The 25,261-nt window shown below is 41.4% G+C and overlaps 1 protein-coding gene across 5 annotated transcripts in view, besides 1 other annotated feature; it reads right to left on the bottom strand.

Moving 5' to 3' along the window:
• ARHGAP10 (Rho GTPase activating protein 10) overlaps positions 1-25,261 on the bottom strand; it is a 340,689-nt gene that overhangs the window by 15,717 nt on the left and 299,711 nt on the right. For all 5 annotated transcript variants that reach the window (NM_024605.4, XM_005263215.4, XM_047416160.1 and 2 more), the window contains one exon: positions 10,009-10,168. In NM_024605.4, coding sequence (NP_078881.3) covers positions 10,009-10,168 — 160 coding nt within the window. The remainder of the gene's footprint in view (positions 1-10,008; positions 10,169-25,261) is intronic.
• Positions 938-5,051: an enhancer, noted in NCBI's record as "VISTA enhancer hs2100". NCBI's record gives its function as "enhancer in: facial mesenchyme[3/5]" and the evidence as "EXISTENCE:transgenic organism evidence [ECO:0001131][PMID:17130149]".

Here is a 25,261-nt window from a genome sequence, read left to right as displayed (position 1 = left end):
CCTGCACTTAGTGTCATCCACAACTGAAACTTGGCTGAGCAACCTAAACTCCCTCAGCTAACGTGAAGAGAGTCATGACTCATCGGCTGGGTCACTGTGGGTTTAAATGAGATGATAGGCGTAAAGCCCTGAAGCATAGCAAGCAGTCAATAAATGAAGCCCTCACTACTATTACATATTTCTAGGTCAGATCTTACCTCTGATTTCTAGGGTTATATCATCACTAACCATTTAATTTACCAAAAGACAGCAAATCAGCTATGCAAAGGGAAAAAAGTATGACTATATTAAGTAGATGTCATCATTTAAAAAATCTAAAGTTGCTTATAGAAACATGGCATCCTGGATTTGAGCTTGAAACAGAGAAAGAACATTATTGGAAAGACTGGTGAAGTCCATATGAAGTCTGTGGTTTAGTTAACAGTACTGTATCAACACTAATTTCATTATTTTTAACAAAGGTACCACAGTTCTGTAAGATGCTAAGAGCCGGAGGTGGGGTGGGGGCGGGAAGTGAAGAGGGGAAGTGAAGGGTCTACGGAAGCTCTGTAGTATCTTTGTAACTTTTCTGCATACCTTAAACTATTCCAAAATAAAAATTTATTTTAAATGATACATTATAAAAAGAACAACCCCACATAGGTTTTTCAGTCACTGAAACACTAAAAGCCTTCTGAAATTATAAATAAACATTTGAGGGCATCCAAAACCCATAGGGAAAATGTCTGGTTGGTTTAATGACAAGAAGAGATGTGTGAAGCTTACACTGAAAATCACCTGGCACTCTCCATCTACCACCACAGTGGTTAACTGCACTTCCTAAAGCTGGGTTTTAAGAAAGGTGGGCCCTTCCAAACAGACCTGTTTTGATTACTGATTAGCTCAAGATCAGTAAACTTATTCTGTAAAGGGCCAGAGAGTAAATACTTCAAGCTTGGCAGGCCTTCTGCAACTACTCAATTCTGCTATCACTGTCAGTGAAAAAGCAGCCACAGACAAAACGTAAACAACTAAGTGTAGCTGTGTTCCAATAAAACTTTATAAAGACAGGTGGCAGTGGGCCACGGTTTGCTCACCCCTGGATTAAACAGACCAGATAAGAAGCCTGGAAGGGACGTGGGGTTTGGGGGAGATGAAGACAATTCGGATGGAGAATCCCCTCCATCTTCACTGGTTTTGTGGTGCGGGGCTCCCCTGTTCGTGCCTGGGGCTGACCCACACATACCCAGTGCTTTCCTGCAGCAGAGGCCTTCTTCAACTGTATAAGATCATCTCTCAAGCAGCAGGGAGCCAGCCAATACATGAAGCCAGCACGTAAAAGCAGTAACTTGTTCACCTTTGAGAACAAATATCTTTATTTTGTTGCTTCCCTGAGACGGAGTCTTGCTCTGTCACTCAGGCTGGAGTGCAGTGGCGCAATCTTGGCTCATTGCAACCTCCGCCTTCCAGGTTCAAGCAATTCTCGTGCTTCGCCTCCCGAGTAGCTGGGATTACAGGTGCATACCACCATGCCAGGCTAATTTTTGTATTTTCAGTAGAGACAGGGTTTCACCATGTTGGCCAGGCTGCTCTCGAACTCCTGACCTCAAGTGATCTGCCTGCCTCAGTCTCCCAAAGTGCTGGGATTACAGGCGTATGCCACCGCGCCCAGCTGAGAACAAATATCTTTTGCAGGAGGTAGGCGGTCAGGGAGAGGAGGAAGGGCACTGCAGGAAATCCCTCAAGCCCCATGAAGGAAGGCCTGCCATGTTTAACACTCAGTCCTCAGCCTGTGCGATCCTGAGGCTCCTACATGGATTTCCTCCTTTAACAAGAAAGGACATCACCATCTAATCATCTGACAAAGTTCACTCCCAAAGTCCACTCTCTTAGAGCAAAAGTTCTTGGTTTTGCTGTAAGAGAACAGGCGCAGAATTACATCTCTGACTGCTCTTCCACTCAAAGAGTTCTCCTTGAATCCTACCTTCCTTCCAGATGATCAGTGTGGAATCAGGTAAGAGGGCTGAACTTTAGCTTGCTAGTTGAACAGAAAAGGAACTGTAACTTCATTTCAGAAAATTAGGGGGCATTCGAGGTCTGAAGGTTACTGTCCTGCAGTCACTGACAGGAATGTTTCGACCAGCTGCCACCCAATGTGAAGGCTGAACATCTTCAACAGGGCCAAGCACAGCTCTAAAGGGACACAGATACTCCGCTCAGAAAAATCCACCAATCACTTACAAAGAGATTTATGGGTTACTTGTTGTAATGGGTGAGCTACCTGGGTATACGGCTCAGAATAAGTTATAAATGTGGTTGGGTCTCAGTAGGTTCCCCATGCTTTGATCATGTGATAGCCAAGGGTCTATTCTCAGAGGCTCTGACAAAGCAGATCCCCAAAGCAAGAGGCTAGGAGAGAAGCCCCAGCTGAGTCCTCCGGGAATAAATACAGTAACTGCTAAAAACAACACAACTTCAGGTCAACATCTAGAGCTTCTCCAAGGCTAGAAAGGTTCTCTCTCTGAGCTAGTCAGTGAGGAGATTATGTAACTGATGAACCAGGAAGTTGGGGTCAAGTTAAACTAAGAATATTAAACTACATTCTCAGAGGAAAGGAAAATCCCAGCAGGTGGCTGCCTCGAGCTCTCAGGGGAGCAGTGATTGGGTTTTATTACATGTGGTATCTGGAAACCTCACCCCGGCCCAGAGGGGCAGATGTTATTATTCCCCTTTTACAGATAATCTTGCTAAGCCTTGGTTTGCTTAAATCCCTGGTTTGCTTAAATCACTTATATAAAAGATCTTCAAGGTTGTAAGAAAAAGAACGTGGATGCAAGGCCAGGCCTGTTTGAAATCAGTGACTTACCAATGTAAACGGTCTCGAACTTACGGAGAGAGCCCATGAGGTCCTTACTTTATTTAGATATTGAGACACAGCCAATTTATGAATAGCAAATAATAAATTACAACAATGGCATCAAGTAAGAAAATCTTTAACAACAAAAACCAGTTAAACTAAAAACCAAAAATGACTGATGCAAGACTTAATTGTTTTTAAGTCTTAAGCAGTGGAAAAGCTACTACAAAATTCAGACATGTCTTTATTTTGGGAAGTCATCTTTTCATGGTAGGGCTTTAAAGTTACATGGACTATCAACATTCTGACTTAAAAATAAAACCTCCAAATTTCAGCACCTGCAGCTACAGCACAGCAAAGGAAGGCACGAATTAGGCCACACGCAAGTGCCAAGTACACAACGCAGATACCAAAAATACCCCAGCAAGCCACAATGGATGTGTATCGAAGCATGTAAGGGGCCAGGCAGTCGGCATAGCATAATTTCTATACAAAGCTGGAGAGAAGAAATTCAAGGAAACACACAGGACAAAAGTTGTACCCCCAGACTGAATGTGAATAGACAATGTGATGGTAGATGGCCAAGTATACAGGCCCTGAGAATCACTTCCAGAGCGTTTCTGAAGCTGAAGGGAGACAACCGAATATCATATTACTCATAAAAAGATTATGGATGCTGCCTGGTTGCATAGATCAAATTTCCAAGTCTCTCAAGCTCTGCTGTGGGGGAGAAGGCCCTCCCGCCCGCATCTCAGCCAAGGTGTTAGATGATAAATGCGCAGCAACCAGATTCAAGTGTTTATTCCCCATAGATAATTATAAACCACAGCCACATGACTTAATGTAAGGTCAGTGCTCCCTCTTCAAACCAAGGGCACTGACCAGTTGACAGCCATGGCTGTTTCACTGGGTTTCAGAATCGGGGCAGGGTGGAGAATACCTGCAATTCAAGCAATGTCCCCATATGCAACTGCACAATTTCAATTTCTACAGTAAAACAAGTCACTGGGCAGACACATGAGGGGTCAAACTCACCTGTCCTTTACTGCTTGTGTGGCTTGGGCCAATTTTCCTATGTCCTTTGCGCCTTCCAATCTTTTTAAAAATGAAGATATATCTACCGCACTGGGTTGATGCAAGCATTAAGATGAAACGTCATCTACAAAATAGCTGAAACAAAGTCTGGTGGCCCATAATACTAAATGCTCCATGGTCTCTCAGCCTGGAAGTGCCAAGAGGGTATCTAATACTTTTTCTGCAGCCTCAACCACCAGCCTCTGCTAAAGCCAAAGGTTCTACTCCCTCAAATCCCCAGACCCCCAAGAGGTAGGGGAAGGAGCTAACCTCTGTGCAGAATTTAACAGGCTGCTGTGGGCTCACAGCAAGGCAGCATGTTCCTCCTGTTCATTTGGCCCCTGTTCTTCCTTAGATTTGAGCTCCCTTAGACCTCCACTATCTAAGTGACCCTGCTGTTTACTTAGGTATGGTAACAGGTACTGGCTGCCAATTCATTCTTCACAGTACCCAGAATCAGAGACCACATCCTTCCACAAGAAGGCACTAGGCTCTCCTAGAGATCTCAGTGTAACCCACTGCATTCTGTAACCAGGGCCCAGATACAAGTAAACAGAGTAAAGCTGCTCATCTTATTAGGAAATCATCCCCCTACTAACCAAGAAAGATGCAGGAAGTTTTTGCAATGGGAAGTTCATTCCTTTAGGTTACTTATCACCCTCTCCTGACCTGAAATTTACAGAGCTTCCCACTTCTTATTACAAAAGCAGTATATGTTCATTTTGGTCAATTAGCCCAAAAAAAAAAAAAAAAAAAAGCAAATGTGCAAAAAAACACTTTTAAAAGATAAATCTTTTTTTTTTTTTTTTTACATAATCAGATTAAGATACCAACTTCTAGGGTGAACTGAGTGTCCTGGCCCTCAAGGAGTGCTGGGGTTGAGGAAGCCCTCTCTGAAGGAGGAGAGAGAGGGAAGAAGGAAAGACAGAGAGAGAGGAAAGGAGGAAGTGAAGACAGGGTTTGCCAGTGACTCCCACCCTGTAATTTCTCAGTAGGCACCAGACTTCACAGAAATCTATTAAAAATGATCTAAAATGATTATTTTTCTGAACTTTAGGCAAATCATTCACAGTTTACTGTGGTGTACTAAGCCACAAATCATATTTGGGGGAGCGGGGTACTCTGGTATCTCCCAGCAAAATTTATTGACTTCCTGAAAAGCAATCATGGAACCAACAGTCAAGTAATTTGAAATGCCAAGCAGCTGTCTCTGAGAAACCCCCCATTCATTTGCCCAATTTAAAGGAAACAAGTGATTGCATTGACGAGAATAAAAATGGTTACCAGTGAGTGCACACAAAGTATATGATGACATGCACAAGGCTGTATATGGGAATAGGAAGGTGTTATCTAGTGATTTTAAATAACTGACATCAAGTCTGAGTAGGCACAAATCTCAGTGGCACAACGACAGCTTGAGGCACTAGCTGGGATAGATGCTTTAGAGATATCAACATTCAGGATAAACAAAGCCAAGCCTCTCAGTGGGTGGGAGAGGGGAATCTACTGCCCTCCTGGCCTGCCAGGGCACACAGTGAGATGCATCTCAGGGTGCCGGCACCCCCAGCTAGAGTGAGCTATTCTGAGACCATGCCATCTTGAATTTGAGAATGTGCCAGCAGAAAAGGAGGTGTTCCTTTTCATTTGAAATCTGTAGAGGAAGCAGATAGCAATGCCCGATATTTCTTAAAAGAGATTTTCTTTTGTGGCAGAGAATCTAAAAGGATTACTTGTCAAGGACCCGGCTCCATCAATTACAATAGAAGAAAACCTGTTTAGCGAAAACTACCTTATTGTGGGGAAAAAATGACTTTGGAACATTCGAAATACCTTGACCTATGATGCAATGTCCTCCAAGGAGACTGAGCTAGCAATTCTTCACTGGCAATGAAGTCACCCATCGCCTTACTGAGGGTACAGGTAAGTAAGAGCTACAGATTGATTGACTGCAATGAATAACACCCACAAGTCATGAACATCAGCAGAAATCCAAGGAATCCAATTCTGCTGCATTGTTTTCTACCTATCAGAGGCAACAGCTACACCACCTATGTCAGAACCACGGCTGCTGTAAGTTTTCCTCTGCAAACTGCTTCCCAGTGGACAAGATTTTAGCATTTTTGTTCAACAGATCTACTGGGGTCCTATGTGATCCACATACATTTGGACTCCATTCCTTAGGACCTGAGACCACAGTAAAGGCATTGCCTCCTATTAAGAGCCCAGAGTAGAGTTTCAATGACTCCATAGCAACTTTGGTTAAAAGGAATCTTAATGAGCATTTACTTAGAACCTATGATATTTAATACTGTATAGCTGGTATGCAGAGATAAAGGGGGAAAAGACAAGAAGAGAACATACAATGAGAACTTATAAATGCTAAGGAAACAAAACACAGTAAGGAGCAAATGGTAAGATTAATTGTGTGGAATTCCTAGAGGAAGAGTTTGTAATCTTTATAAGAAAGAAGATGAATCAACCGGGCACGGTGGCTCACACCTGTAATCCCAGCACTTTGGGAGGCCGAGGTGGGTGGATCACGAGGTCAGGAGATCGAGACCATCCTGGCTAACGCAGTGAAACCCCGTCTCTACTAAAAACACAAAAAATTAGCCAGGCGTGGTGGTGGGCGCCTGTAGAACCAGCCACTCGGGAGGCTGAGGCAGGAGAATAGCGTGAACCCAGGAGGCGGAGCTTGCAGTGAGCTGAGATGGCACCACTGCACTCCAGCCTGGGCAACAGAGCGAGACTACATCTTAAAAAAAAAAAAAAAAAAAAAAAAAAGATGATGATGAGTAAGAAACCAAATGTAGTAGCCTAAGAGACATTCAGTAACACAGAGAAAGAAATGAGATTTCCAAAAGGCAGCATTTCTATAAATACATCATTAAAATAAGAAATTAAATGTTCACTAATAATTACATCAATATCACAAAAAAGTTCAAAGAATATAAGATCTAATTCCTATCATTAACAAGGTTATGGCAGGGCACGGTAGCTCACGCCTGTAATCCCAGCATTTTGGGAAGCCAAGGCAGGCGGATCACTTGAGGTCAGGAGTTTGAAACCAGCCTCACCAACATGAGGAAACCCCATCTCTACCAAAAATATGAAAAGTAGCCAGTGCGGTGGCACGTGCCTGTAATCCCAGCTACTGGGGAGGTTGAGGCACCAGAATCACTTGAACCCAGGAAGCGGAGGTTGCAGTGAGCCGAGATCATGCCACCACACTCCAGCCTGGGTGACAGAGTGAGACTCAGTCTTCCCCACCCTCCCACCGCCACCACCACCCCCCGCCCCCCGCCCCCCGCCCCCCCACCCAAAAAAAACAAACAAACAAACAAACAAAAAAAACAATTTTATGATCTAGCTTGGGGTAAGGGAAAGATTAGCTAGATAGGTAGAAACATTTATTCCATATAAATATCAAATAATACTAAAAGGCAAATATTAAAGAACACTCAAAGGCAACTTGAATTTCTTAGCGCCAAATAATAAGTATCAGCAGAAATACGGACAAGGAATCTCTTTAGAGGCTCCCTGTAGATTACAGCATGGGGAAGACTTCCCGGAGGTGAAGATTAAATTAGACCGTTAAGATAGGTCAGGATTGGCTTGAGCAAAAAAGCAGGACAGATATTTGAGGCAAAGAGAACCAGACCATGTGGGAAGCACACACCGGCTACTGGGAGGACAGCAACGCACGACCCTAGAAGAGTGTGTTTTACACAAAAGAGGTGGAGCAATCACTTATCCTAATTACGCTCCTCAGAGAAGCAGCTTATACTCAGCACAGCCCTGGAGGCAGGCAAGGAGCAGGGGATGGTCTTCCATATCAAGGCTCATTCATCGTCACCTGGGAACTCCTTAGAATGGCAAGCTCTCAGGACCCTTCTCGGACCTACAGAATCCTCAGCTCCAGGGTGGGGCCAGCAGTGTGGGTCTCAGTGAGACCTACAGGAGGTTCTGGTGCATACTCAAGTCCAAGAGGCACTCATCTATATACAAACTTCCTAACATAATGACAAATCTGGACTGATACACACTCATCAGTAAATCCTTTAAAAGATACATAAGAAACATTTTAGTATATACTTCAGAGAAACATAGATGTATTCCATCCATGGCACAGAAAAAAATAAATCAAGTTTCTGAAATAGAAGAAAGTCTCCATTAAAAAAAAAAAAAAAATCTCCTTTCCAGGCTTGCTTCAACTACTCCCCCCAACCCCCTTTTTGGCCTCTCAAGGTTGGAGTGCTTTTCATGACATTTTAAAATGCGTATGAATAGGAAGCTGGGGAATTCACTCCTCATTTGATTTATGACCAAAAATATCAAGCCCTTCTTGTTTCAGGCATGGACGTGTTGTGAATTGAGTGTTGGCTGTACCGTGGCTCATAATGTCAGTTTTCTGCAGAACTGCTACAGAAGAAAGATGACTGCTTAAACTGCACTCCACTGCCTGTGATATTCACTTACTGAAAGGCATAATTAGAGATCTGGTTTTCACTAAAACATACACACATGCTAAATTCCACCTCGAGTGTAACCAGGATTATAGATTCTGCGTGCCTAGGTAACTACTGTTATTGTTGCTTGTAGTACTACGGTGAAACAGAATTTTTATTGTGGAAAAGGAAGAGTAAAGGTGACAAGCATACCTAGTAATGTAGGATTTAAATCCACAATCCTCAGCATAAAAAATATGCACAGATGAAAACACTGGCAGGAAAAATCTCATCTGGAGAATGTGTTTCCATACTTGGAGTCTCAGATTTTCAAAGTCTTCAGATCACCCCCAAATTTTGGCATACCAAATGTCTCCCAGCCTCTCTTAATACTTAATAAGTTCACAATCATTTCATGTGAATCCAGCAGTAACTATAAAAAGCCACGTAATCTGAGGAACACTTTCCAGTCCATTTAAAGTCCCCAGAATGCCCAGCTAGGGTCAGATGACACCATTATCTATAATTTATTTTAAGCAACTTTGGCTTCAACAAAATTTTTTGAAGACTCTCTGGATGGGCTGGGCATGGTGGTTCACACCTGTAATCCCAGCACTATGGGAGGCCAAGGCGGGTGGATCACTTGAGGTCAGGAGTCTGAGACCAGCCTGGCCAACATGGTGAAACCCCGTCTCTACTAAAACTATAAAAATTAGCTGGCTGTGGTGGCAGACACCTGTAATCCCAGCTACTTGGGAGGCTGAGGCAGGAGAATCACTTAAACCCAGGAGGCGGAGGTTGCAGTGAACCAAGATGGTACCACTGCACTCCACCCTGGGCAACAAAAGCAAAACTCCATCTTTAAAAAAAAGAAAAAAAAAGATTCTCTGGATGAATTATAAATGTATTTTTAGATAAAATTTGATTGACTAATCAAGTATTGCCTTGTAATTATTATTGGAGTTTTCTCTTCTCTGAGCACTTGTTTGAAACGTGATGCCCTTTTGGGTTCCACATCACCACCATCCTGCCTTTACTCCACAGCCTTGGTCAACACAGCCAGACAAGCCCTCACAGGTTCAAGGTACTTTATTTGTATTAATATTATTTGTCCTAATATACTTGAGCTGATCTGCACATGCCTGGCACTAAACCAAACTGAGAAGATAAAATCAAATGTCAACCATCAAGTCTCAACTCTGCAGGATGCTATGGAGCAAAACAGAGCAGAATGCTAGCATAATGCTCTCAGAAATTCATGTAAGTAAAATATCATTCTACAGACAGTTTCAAGAGTCTGTCCATCAGCATGCATTCTCACATCTCTAAAGTTTGCATAACTAGTGGGGAAACATCTTGGGTGGGACAGTAACAAATTTCCGTTGCAGAATCCAAAACTGCCCAGGAATTGAACTTCGATCAGATTTGACATAGCATCCAGCTACCCCTTCCATACTAGAAACACAGACAGTATTCAAGGAAGGCTCTGTTTTAAGGACCCTTCTCCCTTTGGTGGCCCTTCTGATAAGAAAACAAGGGCTCCTAGATCTAATGGCTTCAGCACCCACAGGTCACTGCTCATGGAAACTTTAAAATGAACAAAGTCAGGGCTTCCACCCTTCAGCACCCAACAGAAGCACGGTTACTTACATAGTGGATGCCCAGTCTCCAAAGCTCCCTCCATCTGCCAGAAGGTGGTTTTTGTCTGGTCCAGGAGGCCCAGGGACAGCTGTAGTCACGGGAGACGGGGAGGAAAGTGAGTCCAGACTGCTGGTAGGGGTGTCCTCCTTGGAAGGGTAAGGATTGTCACCTAGGAGGAAAAAAAGCATTGAATATCAAACAAATACCTGGAGAAGAAAAAACTCCACTAATAATTATATGGTGTTACTTGATTAGTCAATCAAATGATAAAATTACATTTACAGTTCAGCCTGACAGTATCTGGGTGTCCTGTCTTTACATTTTTTTTAATCAAAGATGCTTAAAATAAACCACAGATAATACACAGCGAGGAATGTTTTCCTTACAAGAAAACACAATGATCAAAATCAGATAATGGAAGATAAAAGGCATAATGGCAGCCACAATGACTTCCTCACTATACGGAGTCCAGGTATAAACCAATGAAATCAAGAATAGCTCCAAGCAGCACACCAGCCCTGTGGGGTCCAACCTCTTCCTTTCTGGTCACCTATTGGTTCTTTAAGTCATTCTCAGTTGCCATTTAGTGCATAATAAATTAGACAACTCTAAAAGGGACTTGTCTTACTGAGCTGGTATCTTGGATTATAATTTCTAATACCCCAACATTAAAATCCCACACATAGACAAACTTCCATTTCCCTTTGGATATCAGGGAGGGTACTACAAGAGAGTTAGGCTTTTGTGGTAATGCCACACGATGAATTTAAACCAAAGCTAAATTTTTTTTTAAATGAGTTGCACAATGTATCCATTCACAGGGGACCATTTTATTAAATATGTTTAGTATAATATTTGTATACATTGTGGGCTTGGGTAGAAAATGCAGAAGACGGACAAGAGAGCTCACAAGAGCAGTTATTTCCCTCTATTGGTCTTCTTGCTTTCACAGTCCTCCCAGCTACCATAAAATGCACCTGATCTGCACCCATCAAGGCTTGGCCCTTTGGCCTAATCCTCAGTCCCCATTAAATTTTAACTGCTCCAGGCAACCCTGCAGAGGCAGCAATGTTCTACAAAGATGGCACTGACTTGGCCTTAATTTTATAGGTGATGGTCCTAAACTGCTATGGAAGCAAATGTGACACACATAGAGGTCCATAACCCCAGCCCCCAACAGCTTGTAGCTGATTAAAGCTTCACGTTTCCTCACTCCCAGGTCCTAGAAACAAAGCAAGCAAGAACACCAGCAACAGCAAGGACCTTGCTCTCAAAAAACATCTTAGATGGATTTCTTTTTTTTTTTTTTTTTTTTTTTTTTTGAGATGGAGTTTCGTTCTTGCTGCCCAGGCTGGAGTGCAATGGCGCGATCTCGGCTCACCGCAAGCTCCGCCTCCCAGGTTCAAGCAGTTCTCCTGCCTCAGCCTCCCGAGTAGTTGGGATTACAGGCATGCACCACCACGCCCGGCTAATTTTGTATTTTTAGTAGCGACAGGGTTTCTTCATGTTAAGGCTGGTCTCGAACTCCTGACCTCAGGTGATCCGCCTGCCTCAGCCTCCCAAATTGCTGGGATTACAGGCGTGAGCCACTGCACCCAGCCAGATGGATTTCAATTCTCCTAAAAACGAAGCATAAGAGAAATTCCAGGCTCTGATTAAGCTAGCTCCCCAGACTCCAGGGGAATCTTGAAAACTGATTGTACAAAATAATTATTATTGACTCCTGACCCAGCTTACAACTAAGGGTTAAGAGAGAAAATCTCAGAAATGGAGATCTAGAACAACTGAATCCAGACAAGCAGGAGTTAGAGATGGTGGTGATGGCTGGAAGAAGAAATTGTTTATGGTGAGTATTGAGGGGGACCCCTGGAGGACACTGTGCAGAACATTCTGTTAAGAAGAGGTTTCTGTTTAAGTGCTGCACACTAACCAACTGTACCACTGAAACTCCAAGGAAGAGTTTTCTGAGCTCTTTATTTCATAAGTGTGTTCCCGGGGAGGGTGGGGGAGATGGCTGAGCAAGAGATGAACCGTATCTCCACAGGGCAGTTCTTCTTGTCTGAGTCTATTTATAAAGTCTAGAAGACTATGATTGCTCTTTCAGTGAAGCCACTTTTTCCACAGCGCTTCACCACAAAAAACGTTTAGCTAATTGGAGAAACTCAGCGCCAATAGAAGGGCCAATTTTCAGGCAAATGGACCAAAACCCACTGGTAGACCACTGCTATGATTTCCTTTTAATGTATTTTCTTTCTGGGATCCATCCACTTTGGAACAAAGACCACATCATCCCCTGTGCCCAGCGAGCTCAACTCCGTCCAGTTCTTTTCTGTGAAAGAGCCCAAGTGACGCGAGGGGCTGGCCTCCAGCTTTCCCCAGCCCCTCCCTGTGTCTTTCATTCATCATGAGCAATGACTCCCCTCAAAATTAAGAGAATCTCAAATGGAACCCCAGAACGGAGTCCAGAGTAAACCTGAACATTGACCTGGCATGACGGCTGCCCTCAGTGCTCAGCTAGACATAGCAAACTGTCATCAGTTCTGAAGCAGAACAGGATCACCTTCACAGCAAGTCAGATGCCAGCAGCTCCCTGGCTGCAGGAGGCTGGACCCAGGCCCTCAGTCCTCCCTGGGCTGTGTGCCCTGACAGTTGGGCAAGGCATGACATGGCAGAAGCAGCAAAGGAGAGTCTGGGACCGGTTTATTCCCTGACTTACTCCTACCGAGAGAAACCTGTCAATGAGAAGCAACTTTGGGGAACTGGAGACCAGGGGTTTAATGTTACTTTTGAAAGATGCCTGAAATGTTTTTACAACCAGATAGAGCAGATCATTTACACTGCCTCTAATCCTTTTCCCAAGCAGACTGACACAGCACAAATTGTCATTCAACATATTAAATCACATTCTATTAAGAGAGTTCTCTCTTCCTTCCTGCCAAACAGTGGCAATTTGAACCCTCAAGTGAAAATAACATTGGTAGAAGGGAATGTTGACACAGCCTGATCAAAGGAGAAGACACTTCACCCTACTTTCCAAGTGTATAGAGTTCCTTCCTCCTTCACTGTTCAGGAATGAGCTTACCTACTTGAGAGAATCACTGAATTTGAGGGAGAATAAATCATCAGGTACACAAACATTAAATACTCACAACCATTTCTGAAACTTTAGTTAACCAAAAATCAAATTAGCATTTTTTAACTACTATGAAAATAATAAAACTTAAAAAATATTCTATGTTCAACAACTTCTGGAATGAATGCATATATATATACATATATATATACATATATATACACATATATATACATATATACATATATATACACATATATATATGAAAAATGCATATACATTTTTCCTTATACATTTTTCCTATATACTTACATATCTATATTTATACACCTAAAATATATATATATATATATATATATATATATATATATATTAGAGAGAGGGTCTCCCTATGTTGTCCAGCTTGGTCTCGGACTTCTAGGTTCAAGTGATTCTCCTGTCTTGACTTCTCAAAGTGTTCGGATTACAAGTATGAGCCACCACCCCTGGCTGGGAATAAAGATTTTAAATCCCACAAAGCTAACTTAAAATTGAGAATTAAAGTCAGATACACTCATTATTTTTCACCTATCATTTCTTCTGAGTGATCACACAATCTCTTCCCTTAGGTGTTACCCTTTAACAGGCATCTACAAACAGACAAATCACCTCTGGGTAAAAAGGTTGTTCCAGTGAGTGAACAAAAATGGTACCAAAGGATTTATGAACAGACTCTAAGACACTCTGGAAAATGAACTACCGCCGATTAGAAGAGAAAATGACTTCCTTGCAGCATCCTCAGATTTAACTCCCACAAGGTACTTGCCAAACCCCTCCTCTCCTGATTCTTTTCTCCTTTCTCAGAGCTGTCTGCAGCCATCAATTTTGCATTTCGCCATCATATACTGGTTTTATAACCTGGTTTTAGGTGCCCATTTCCCTTGTACATTTTGTCAGGGTGCAGACCACGTCTTGGTCTTGGGAAGCCTTAGAGAACACAAAGCAGTGCCAGGCAATCCAGGAGTCATCAGGACTGCCACTGCCACAAGAAATAGCATCAGCATGGAGAGCCACTGCCTCTACAAATTGAGGAGGGAAAAAAAATCTGAAGACCCCAACATATTCTTACAAAACCTGCACACAGTTTTGGATTCTCATCCTCTCCCGTTTTGAGCCACAAGCATCTCTAATCCACTTTATTCACCCAACTAGCATTTACTGAGCTTCTCCTTATGTACAAAGGCATACCACAGATGCTGAATTATACAGGCAGACAAGCAGTCCCTAACCCAAAGATGCCCAGAGTATAATGCAGAAGACAGGCAAAGACAAACAAGGTGGTGTTTGCTGTAATATGGTTATGTCAAGGAGCTTTCAGACCCAGAAAAAGGAGTTTTCAGAGTTACCAGTGTCAGGAGCGAAAGACAGGTGGGAGTGCAGCAACAGGAAAGGGAAGAAATTATTGCCAGTTTCAAGGAAAAAGCCTCTGGTCGAGAAAGTATCAAAACTGAAAGAAAAGAAACAGGAGAGCATGTGGCCATTTTCAGAGCCACAGTAGTTGTTGGATTTTGTTGGAGAACAGGGTCAAATGCAGAAAGCAGGTGCATGATGTAGGGTAAAGAACTTTGTATCTAATGTAAAGGCATATGAATTTACTCTGCAGACACTGGGAAGGTATTGCAGGGATTAAGCAGGGAAGTGATACGATCTGGAGAACAGCTTCAAAAGATATTCAGTTATGACAGTCATTAGAACTCAGTGAACAAAGGTGAAGGGTGAGAGAGAAACTTAAGATGAGCCTCAGGTTCATGGCTTAGGAACTGGGTGTATGGTAGAATCATTAACTGAAATAGGGAATAAAAAAACAAGGAGCATACTGGGTGAGGGAGATAATAAGACCGGTTGTAGGCATGTTGGGTTTGGGGTGTCAATAAAAAATCCACGTGGCAGTATCTAAGGGAGAGTTGCTTATACAACCCTAGAGCTCAGAAGAGAAGCCTGGGATAGTTTTATTGATCTGAAAGTCACGCACAGAGAGTTGAAGTCACAGCACTGGATGGAGAGAGCAAGGAAGAAGATGCGGAAAAGTAAAAGAACGTTGAGGGATCTCCCGGCCAAGAGAGCTGGCTTTTCTTTAAAGCAATATTGTTGTTGTTTTGTTGTTTTAAATACAACACAGTGTTCTTTTGCAAATATTTAGGATTCCTGAACAAACATCAATTCTCATAAAAACTGACCACAATTGGTCAAGAGGACATGTCTTTGGTGATAGCTACCACATTTCACTTAATCTGATTTTTTATGAGCCTGAGCACATGAACAAGTGCTTTATTTTCAGGACAGACTAAAATCATCTTCAAAGATTGGCAGAAAATTAGACCAAGAGGAGGAAACAAGAGCTTGATAATTCTACCATTTCTAATAATTTAGAGGATGTTTATATCTTATTTTAATCTAATGATAAGCTTTTACACTTCAGGTAGTTTAACTTTTTGTTGTGATGATGACAAACTGTTCTCTTCATTCATTTTCTGGTCATTTCACTTGAACAGAACTGCTTTTGGATTGTTGGAAGGAATAAAGCTTTGGGCTTCCCTGCCATTTCATTCATTTCTTCTTTGTCTCCTTTCAAATATATTTCCTAACAGTTACGTCAGAGATAGTTCCCCCCTGAAATCCCTTCCCTGCTGTTCTTCCACGTAGCTGAAGATTTTTTGGGCATGGTATAAAATCACAGACAGTTTCTGTTATTCCTCACAGATGGACCATTCCCACATCAGCAAAGCTATCCCATGCTCCTCATTCTTAAACATCTAGCTTATGTATTAGCAGGAGTAAGGAAGAAAAGGAGAAGACAGAAAAGAGGAAAGAAAAATGCATAAAAAGAAAAGATCTAATATATTAGTTGAATTTAATTTAAGCAAACCTCACAGTCATGCATTTGGCTAGCTGGGGGACGCTGAAACCTACTTTGGTATACAAATACTCTTCCTGTCAGATCAGAATAAACTTAGTTACTTCTAATTAACAAGTAGTTAATAGGATCAAAAGAAAGTTTTGCTGAGAACAAAGTAACTGCAATTATAACACAGAAACACTCTTGTGATAAAGTTCATTCAGAAAATGTTCAGCCAAGACGGAATATTAAGGAGAAACCTACCTCTCCCTCACACATACACCAAATAACCCCCCCCAAATCTTTTTTAATAAATAAAAATACATAACTTCCCTGATAAACTTGTTACACATTTCTGTCGAACAGAAACAAAAAAGAAACAACCAGAGGGACCATTAGCCAAAGGTTTATGGTTCCAAGACCAACTGAAACCAACAGAACCACCTAGACATTTAAACCCTGCAGGGTTCTGGCCAGGCGCTGCAGCTCATGTCTGTAATCCCAGCACTTTGGGAGGCCGAGGCAGGTGGATCACCTGAGGCCAGGAGTTTGAGACCAGCCTAGCCAACATGGCAAAACCCAGTCTCTACGAAAAATACAAAAAATAGCCAGGTGTGGTGGTGCACGCCTGTAATCCCAGCTACTCAGGAGGTTGAGGCAGGAGAATCGCTTGAACCCAGGAGGTGGAGGCTGCAGTGAGCTGAGATCGCATGACTGTACTCCAGCCTGGGCAACAGAGCAAGACCCTGTCTCAAAACAAAAAACAAAAAACAAAAAAACCTGTAGGGTTCCTAGTATCTATAATAATATACCAAGCATGGGGCAGAGGGGCTACAGCCAGGCTCTTCATGTGGAAATAGGGACTGGGAGAAGCCCTCCACCCTAGATGGAGGCCAAGAACCTATAACCAAGTTCCCCACTTGCCTGGGGGATGATTTGGCCTATCCCAAGGACAAGAACATTGTGCTGGCAATAATAGACCTGGCTCTGAACCAGCACCTAGGTGACCCCAGTGGAGGCAATAGCCAGACAGTGAAAAGAAAGGGGAGAAGATGGATCCAACACACCCTAACCATGCATACACACAAAAAAATCCTCCTTCACCATGGACTTGTAAATGAGAACTTCTAAAAACAGAAAACTAAGACAGCAAACTCAATGAATAAGAAAACTCAGAGATTTAGAGATTTGTAATATAGAGAATAGAAGTGAAATTGCCAGAATCTAGATCCCAGAAACAAATTCAGAGGAGGAAATATTTAAATAATAATCAAAGTCTCAAAATTAAAGAAACATCAAAGACCTCAATTATAAAGGACTGAGAGTGCCAAACAGAGGAGTAAGGAAAATCCTGCACGTAAGACATATTATTTTAACATTTAATAATATCAAATACAAAGAAAAAAGCACCCATATGGAAAAAGCAGATCATATAAAAAGAAAAAGAATCAGATTGGCATCAGACTTCTCAACAGCAATGCTAAGTGCAGAAGGAAATTGAAGTAGTATCCTAGGCCGGGTGTGGTGACTCACACCTGTAATCCCAGCACTTTGGGAGGTAGAGGTGGGCAGATCACTGGAGGTCCAGAATTCGAGATCAGCCTGGCCAACACAGTGAAACCTCGTCTTTACTAAAAATACAAAGAAAAAAAAATTAGCCAGGCGTGGTGGTGGGTGCCTGTAATGGTATAGGCTACAGAGTGAGACTCTATCTCAAAAAAAAAAAAAAAAAAAAAAAAAAAAATTGAAGTAGTATTCTTAAAGTATTAAAGAAAAAAAATTTGAGCAGAGAATTATATATTCAAACTGCCTTCAAATGTGAGGGCATAATAAAACTATTACCAGATATAAAAATCCCCAAAGGATGGCCACACGAAGAACTATACTGATAACACTCTCAGAGAAATTCCTTAAGTATTTAAATAAAAGAAGCAATATAAGATGTTCAGCTAACTTGATCATGTCCATTGTTGTCTTTTAAAAAATCTAAGACAAAAGAAAAGGAAAATAACATAACCAAAATAATCCAGAACTGAAATTCTGGAAAATACCAACATGGTGGGGGTGGGTAGATCAGAGGGAGTTGATAGCCCATTAAATTATTTGTCTTATTGGAAGTGGGGAGAGAAATATAGTTTAAGAAAGTAACAGAGAAATAACACTAAGTTTCAAAACAAAGGCACCACTTTAGAAACAAAAAAAACTGTCATTTTAAAAAGCAGAAGAACATTTGCTTCTTTGAAGAGAAGGCAGCAATTGTATCAAAATTCATTAAGGGAAAAACAGACTTCAACCAAAATTAAATGAACTCTTTCACCAGCGGAGGGTGAGCACAACTGCTCCAATTAACATCCACCTCATGCCCCTATATCCCCTTGTGCCTGAATTCATCCTCCTGTCACCCTGCATTTTCTATCTTTTAAATAGGGCCACCCAATCAAAACCAATAATCTCTTGCTTTGAGTATTTCAGTGGCTTCTCTGCCCAAATGATGTGTCTCTTCTAATGATGCTGTACCCAAGGAGGACTAAAGCAACCACAATGTGGCTGAATGTCTGTATTGGAAGACGAGGGTTCAGGAGGTAGGGGAGGAGAAAGGATACCCTCAAGAATCAACACCTCTGGGTAAAAGTCACAGTGGCAGACTAACAGCTCTGAGAAGAAAATCTACAGGAAGAACCTGAAATGGGGGGGATTATAAAATGTTGCAGTAGGATGAGAGTTTTGTTTGGCTAATTAGTATAAGCCTGTTTAAAACATAATCTTTGAACTAAGCATGAGATAGTCATGTCCTAATTTCTACCACATGGCAAATACTATGACAATAAAATCTCCTAACCATGGCAGCCTTTCCTCCTAATGTTACCCAGGACATTCAGGCCACTGAAAAGGAGAGTGGTATCTAGTACCAAGAAACAGAACTGCCAAACTCATTTCATATATATTCTAGCATAATTTCTACTCTGCTAAAATAAAGTCTGGGTTGCTATACCATGTCAAAAAGTAGTACCTAATGCTACACTGAATAGTGAAAACTAAAATAAACCAAAATTTGTATTTTCCTACCCCAGTTCAAATGTTTTTGGACTTGATGTTGTAAATAAAACCTAATTCTTAACAATGAATCCAGAGGTGACCTATATAAATAAAGTTAAATCTGTCTAGGAGCTGGTGAAAAGCTTCAGCCAGCATATGAGATGGAACCAACAATTGAATTTTAAGATTGACAGAGATCAAAGGATATAGCTGACATCCATTCTTTTCTTTTTTTTTTTTTTTGAGACGGAGTCTCACCCTGTCACCAGGCTGGAGAGCAGTGGCGTGATCTTGGCTCACTGCAACCTCCACCTCCTGGGTTCAAGCGATTCTCGTACCTCAGCATCCCAAGTAGCTGGGATTACAGGCACACGCCACCACACCCAGCTAATTTTTGTATTTTCAATAGAGAAGGGGTTTCACCATGTTGGCCAGGATGATCTCAATCTCCTGACCTCATGATCCGCCCCTGCCTTGGCCTCCCAAAGGGTTGGGATTACAGGTGTGAGCCACCGTGCCCGGCCAACATCCATTCTTTAATGATCTAGTGCCTGGGAAGAGTAGAGTGCACCATACTGTTTCCTCAAATGTGGTACATACAGGTCAAAGTATCCTACTTACTCCCTGCAAAAAGAGACATCTCAGACTGTCATATTGGATCAGAACAATGACTCATCTTGTATGGCATTCTGTTTTAACAAGGACATCCAAAGATGCTTTAGTTGTCCACAGCCTCTTCCTCCCTACCCAAGACTTAGAAGTACATCATAACATCCACTTGTTTTGAAACTACTGGGGCAGCAGTTTGTCATGGACAGTGGAACATTCAAGACTTCCAATTCTGAGGAAAGGAGCATGACTTCCAGAACAGCTTATGATTTCTTACTGCCCCAAAGGCAGGATTACAGTTTTGTCCAAAATTTTGATTTTGCATCTTGTCACTAGTACTCCAATAATTATTAGCTTTCAGAAACTGGGTGACCAGATCCCCAAAGTTACCATAAGACTGAGGGAAACTGAAAAAGATCATGACCAAAGAACACAGAAAAACCACCTATCTCACCTAGCTGGATTATCTAAGACTGTTTTTTTTCCAAGTAGCTCATTCCTCAGTTTTTGAAGAAAACTGAACAGCCTTGTTTCTTCACAGCTTACCCAGATGCTTGGCTGGACCAAAATGTCATGGTGTTCCAGGACCTCATCTACCTAGAAGTTGTAATCTATACATGGAATGACCAGTACACACAGAGCAGTCTGAGCAGCATGGCTGAGAAGGGTCAAAGTCAGGTCCAAAACCCAATCAACCCCTAACAAGCCAAAGAAAACCTGGCACTCCCTCTCCATCTATCCGTATGCTAGTCAACTTGTATCAGTCCATTCTTAGGCTGCTAATAAAGACATACCTGAGACTGGGTAATTTATAAAGGAAAGAGGTTTAATTGACTCATAGTTCAGTATGGCTGGAAGGCCTCAGGAAACTTACAATCATGGCAGAAGGGGAGGCAAACACATCCTTCTACACATGATGGCAGGAAGGAGAAGTGCCAAGCAAAAGGGGAAAGCCCCCTTATAAAACCATCAGATCTCGTGAGAAGTCACTCACTATCACAATAACAACATGGAGGTAACTGCTCCCACGATTCAACTACCTCCCACTGGGTCCTTCCCACGACACGTGGGGATTATAGGAACTACAATTCAAGATGAGATCTGGGCGGGGACACACCAAATCATATCACAAATTCAACTGAAATGGCTAAGGAACTGAGTGAGATAATTTTCTTCATGAAGCACTATCAACAGAGGCACCAAACAGATAAGATCTACAGAAAGAAACAGTCCAAAGCAAGATAAAAATTAAAATTGAGATATTTTTCAGCCCAGGTATTTATTCTCATCCTCTATAAAACCTAGGTCACGGAATTATATCATATTATCTTATACATTAGTTTTCCTTAACTGGAAAAGTATACACACACACACACACACACACACACACACACACACACAGAGGCAGCTCCTTTATTAAACAAATTAGAATAGTAAAGATAGGTTACGGAATACTAAGTTTGACATTAAAATGAAACCTTTTAAAAACTGTGAACCTAGAGATATCTTTTTTAAAAAAGAAAATCAACTCTACCCTACCATCCAAAGGAAATTCTTCTTTACTGTCCATAGAGTAGTAAGTATTGCATGATTACTGCTAGAAAAAAGTCCAGATTCTTTGATCAGAAAATCTTCCTTAAGTCTTACATTAGGGGGAAAAAGGGAGAAAGATTAAGACATTAACCCTGCCAACTGCCCATTAAGGAAAGAAGCTAACTGTGTTTCTCAGCACGGGCAGGTGCACTGAGATGCAGGTTATAACTGCCGCATGGTAGAGCTTCCTAAAATTCCACTTAGTCCAATTCTCAGTTACACTGCAAGCTCAAGTAATGCCATCCAGGGTAAGGGGCAGAACGACCTCACTCCTCCCGTTTCATTTTCCCTCTGAAACATGGCAAGACAAAATGGGAACTATAATGAAGCCAAATAATGTACAGATGAATGACAGTCAGTTGCTAGATAATAATTCACTTGGCTAATATAATGTATCTGAAATTCTCTCTAGAAAAAGAAAAATGTGACTTCTCAAGAAAAGAGCTTCCTACTCCACAATCCCAAAAGCACAGAAACAAAACTACATACAGCTCTGCATTCCCCCCAAAACTAAAAAGGCAACTCCTGAACTATAAATTAAAATGTCACATTAAGGCATGAAAAGATGTAATGAAATTGCCATAAACTTAATAAGTACATTTTATTTTCTGTTGCCCAAAGATTTAAAGAAATTAAGCATAATGCTTGCCCAAAAAGCTACTATGACAGCTAAAATATGCCAAAAGTACATGCCAGGAAAAGCTGATGAGAGAATCAGCTGTTAAAACCAATCACATGACAAAAAATAAAGACCCCATTATAAAGTTATAGCAACAGCTAATAGGCATCAGGTTACAACTCCAGGAACCACCTCTACCTCTTGCAAAGGTCGATGGAAATCTGCAGCAATTCAATTATAAAGCAAGTAAGACCAGTTCAGTTGCAATGTCAATAGAAGTCAAAGCAAATTGCTTTACTCTACAAAGCAAAGAGCATTTTTATGTCATAATCACAGTCCTGGGGCATTGTTTAAAGACTAAAATTTTTGCCCATATAAACAAAAAATATAACAGCCATGTGTTATTATTCTTGGGAACCCAAAACTACTCAGATACTTAAACTGTCTTCCATAAACTTTGAGGAAGCTGCCAGTTTGACAGCTCAGGAAATTTAGAGCACTGTGCTCAGAGTACAACCTCCAGTACAGCTGAGACAATGAGGATTGCCAGACTCCTTGCTTTTCACCTGTCCTCCCCTATTCCTCTCATCTAAGAAGAAGGAAAGTTCATTATTAATTGCCAGATGGAGGCCAGGGCAGTGGCTCACACCTGTAATCCCGGCACTCTGGGAGGCCGAAGTGTGTGGACCACCTGAGGTCAGGAGCTCAAGACCAGCCTGGCCAACAGGGTGAAACCTGTCTCTACTAAAAATACAAAAAAAAAAAAAAAAATTAGCCGGGAGTGGTGGCAGGGGCCTGTAATCCCAGCTACTCAGGAAGCTGAGGCAGGAGAATCACTTGAACCTGGGAGGCAGAGATTGCAGTGAGCCAAGATCGCGCCATCGCACTCTAGCCTGGGCAACAAGAGCGAAATGGTCTCAAAAAAATAAATAAGTAATTGCCAGAGGGAGATGCTAGTTACCAACAAACTTAGGTATAATGTTGGACAAAAATAACCAGAAATAAAAGACTAAATTACATTTTATTTGAAAGCATACCAAACATGAAAGCGTATCTGAAGCTCTTCTGCTTCAGATATCAGGCTCTCAAGAAAATATAAGCGAAAACTATTCAATATTTACCATATATTGGCTGGTTTACATCCATTAACTCAGTTGTTCCAGGCAAAAACCATGTCAAAGTTTTATTGTCCAAATTTGTGAGGCTTAGAGAGAGATTTGCTGAGATCATAAACAACATCAAGAGGAGGGAAGAAATTTAAATCCAAACTTAACCGTTACAAGCAAGTCAACCATTCAATAAAACTCTTTGCTGCCTAAGTATTTCCAGTAATAGGGATCCCCAAAACGCCGGGACAACGTAACCATGAGAAAGCAGCCTGGGCAAAAGGTGAAAGTCACGTGAAGTCTAACAGGAAAACACTAAGCAGTGAGAGACAGTCATTCTCAGTTAGTGCCAATGAAGTCTCTCCAGGCCAGCTCATGCTAAAGGGACTCCATTCCCTTTCTTTCTAGACTCTGTTTCTCAGTCCTTCCATTACAAAATATTAAACATATACCCAACACACTAGTATGAAACACAGCTTGCTTCGGAGTTAAGCTGAAACATTTGTAAACTAAACACATATAAATGTATGCGGTATGTGTGTATATGTGTATTTATATGTATGTATTACAAGTAATACACTATAGACAAGATAGGAAATACAAATATGTATAAAGAAAATCACCAACTCTAACCACCTAAGGATAACCATTGTTATAACTGATTATTTTTCCAGATTTACTTGTATGCTTATATTTAAATATATAGGTTTTCCTTTAAAAGTGAGAATATTTTTGAAAATTCCATCTTAAAACTTGCTTTTTTCATTCAAAAGCATACTGTACATTATTTCTATGGACAAATCTTTATCATCCCAGGATGGCTGGAAGCCTATGTGTGATGAGTAAGACATCTGCATCATCTGACTGTGTTTGGCTGGGCTGTAGAATACAAGGTCCTCTTATAAGTACATCCATACAATAGAATGCAGAGAGTACTATACAGCAGTGAAGAAAGGAGAAAGCTCTCTTTGTACTGACATAAAAAGCAACACAAGATATACTATAAAATTTGAAAAAAACAAAAAAGGTACCAAACTGACTCTTCAGTGAAGAAGAGAATAAATAAGAATCCATATTCATATTTGCTTATTGTGGTGGTTAATATTGAGTGTTAACATGATTGGATTGAAGGATGCAAAGTATTGTTCCTGGGTGTGTCGGTGAGGGTGTTGCCAAAGGAGATTAACACCTAATCAGCTGCCAGAGCAGCTGGAATAAAGCAGGCAGAAGAAGGTGGAGGACTTGACTTGCTGAATCTTCCACAGCCGTCATCTTTCTCCCAAGCTGGATGTTTCCTGCCCTCGAACATGAGAGTCCAAGTTCTTCAGATTTGGACTCCTGGACTTACACCAGTGGGCTTTCGGGCTTTTGGTCACCGACTGAAGGCTGCACTGTCAGCTTCCCTACTTTTGAGGTTTTGGGACTTGGACTAGCTTCCCTGCTCCTCAGCTTGCAGATGGCCTATTGTGGGACTTCACCTTGTGATCATGTGAGTCAATACTCCTTAATAAACTCCCCTTCAATATATACATCTATCTTATTCATTCTATCTCTTTAGAGCACCCTAATACACTTATATATAAAAATAAAGAATTCTAGAAGGACAGGAAACTATAGGTTGAACCATATAAAAATGATGATATTCAATCATGTTTGGCATATACCTACAGCAGTTTCACAAGGTACAGACTTGCTAATAACTGATCATCAATCCAATTTACATCTCAACTCTAGAAGGATTTGAGAAACCACAAGTTGAACTACATGAAATTCTCAATGATTACAACGTTTGGCCTACAATATGGGGGGGGGGGGGGGGGGGACAGTTGAAATTGCCAATATTAGATAATTTTTTACCTAAAAGATGGCAATTTTATGTGGTTCAACCCATGAACATCAATGGCTACAGATCTGGCTTGCAGACGCAGGCACTGAGTCAATGGGATGGAATAGATCTTTCCACTTTGTATCTTTTTATACTTTTTGAGTTTTCATATATGGTAATATATTATTTATTTTTTAAATTATTTTTAATAAAGAAAGAAGGGGAGAGGAGTGGGAGGAGAAAACAGAAAAGCAACAGCAAAATCTCATATATTTGGGCAGCATCAAATTCCAAATTGTGTTCACTTTCTAACAGCCTGTTAAAGCATAAGGTACCTGAGATATCCTCACTACAACCAATCCATGACCAGATGTTTGTTCATTTAGGTAAGTGGTGGCATAAATTACAATAAAATGCTTTTGCAGTACTTAATATCACTGAAATAAAATGGGTCACTTCCCTCCCCTTTCTCTCATAAAAAAACAGGCCTGGATTTTTCTCCTGGAGGGCCCATGCTTGTTACAGT

Source organism: Homo sapiens, chromosome 4 (genome assembly GCF_000001405.40).
Source record: "Homo sapiens chromosome 4, GRCh38.p14 Primary Assembly".
Classification (NCBI taxonomy): Eukaryota; Metazoa; Chordata; class Mammalia; order Primates; family Hominidae; genus Homo; species Homo sapiens.
Note: the sequence above shows the minus strand (reverse complement) of the source record. Positions and strands in the feature narration are given on the sequence as shown.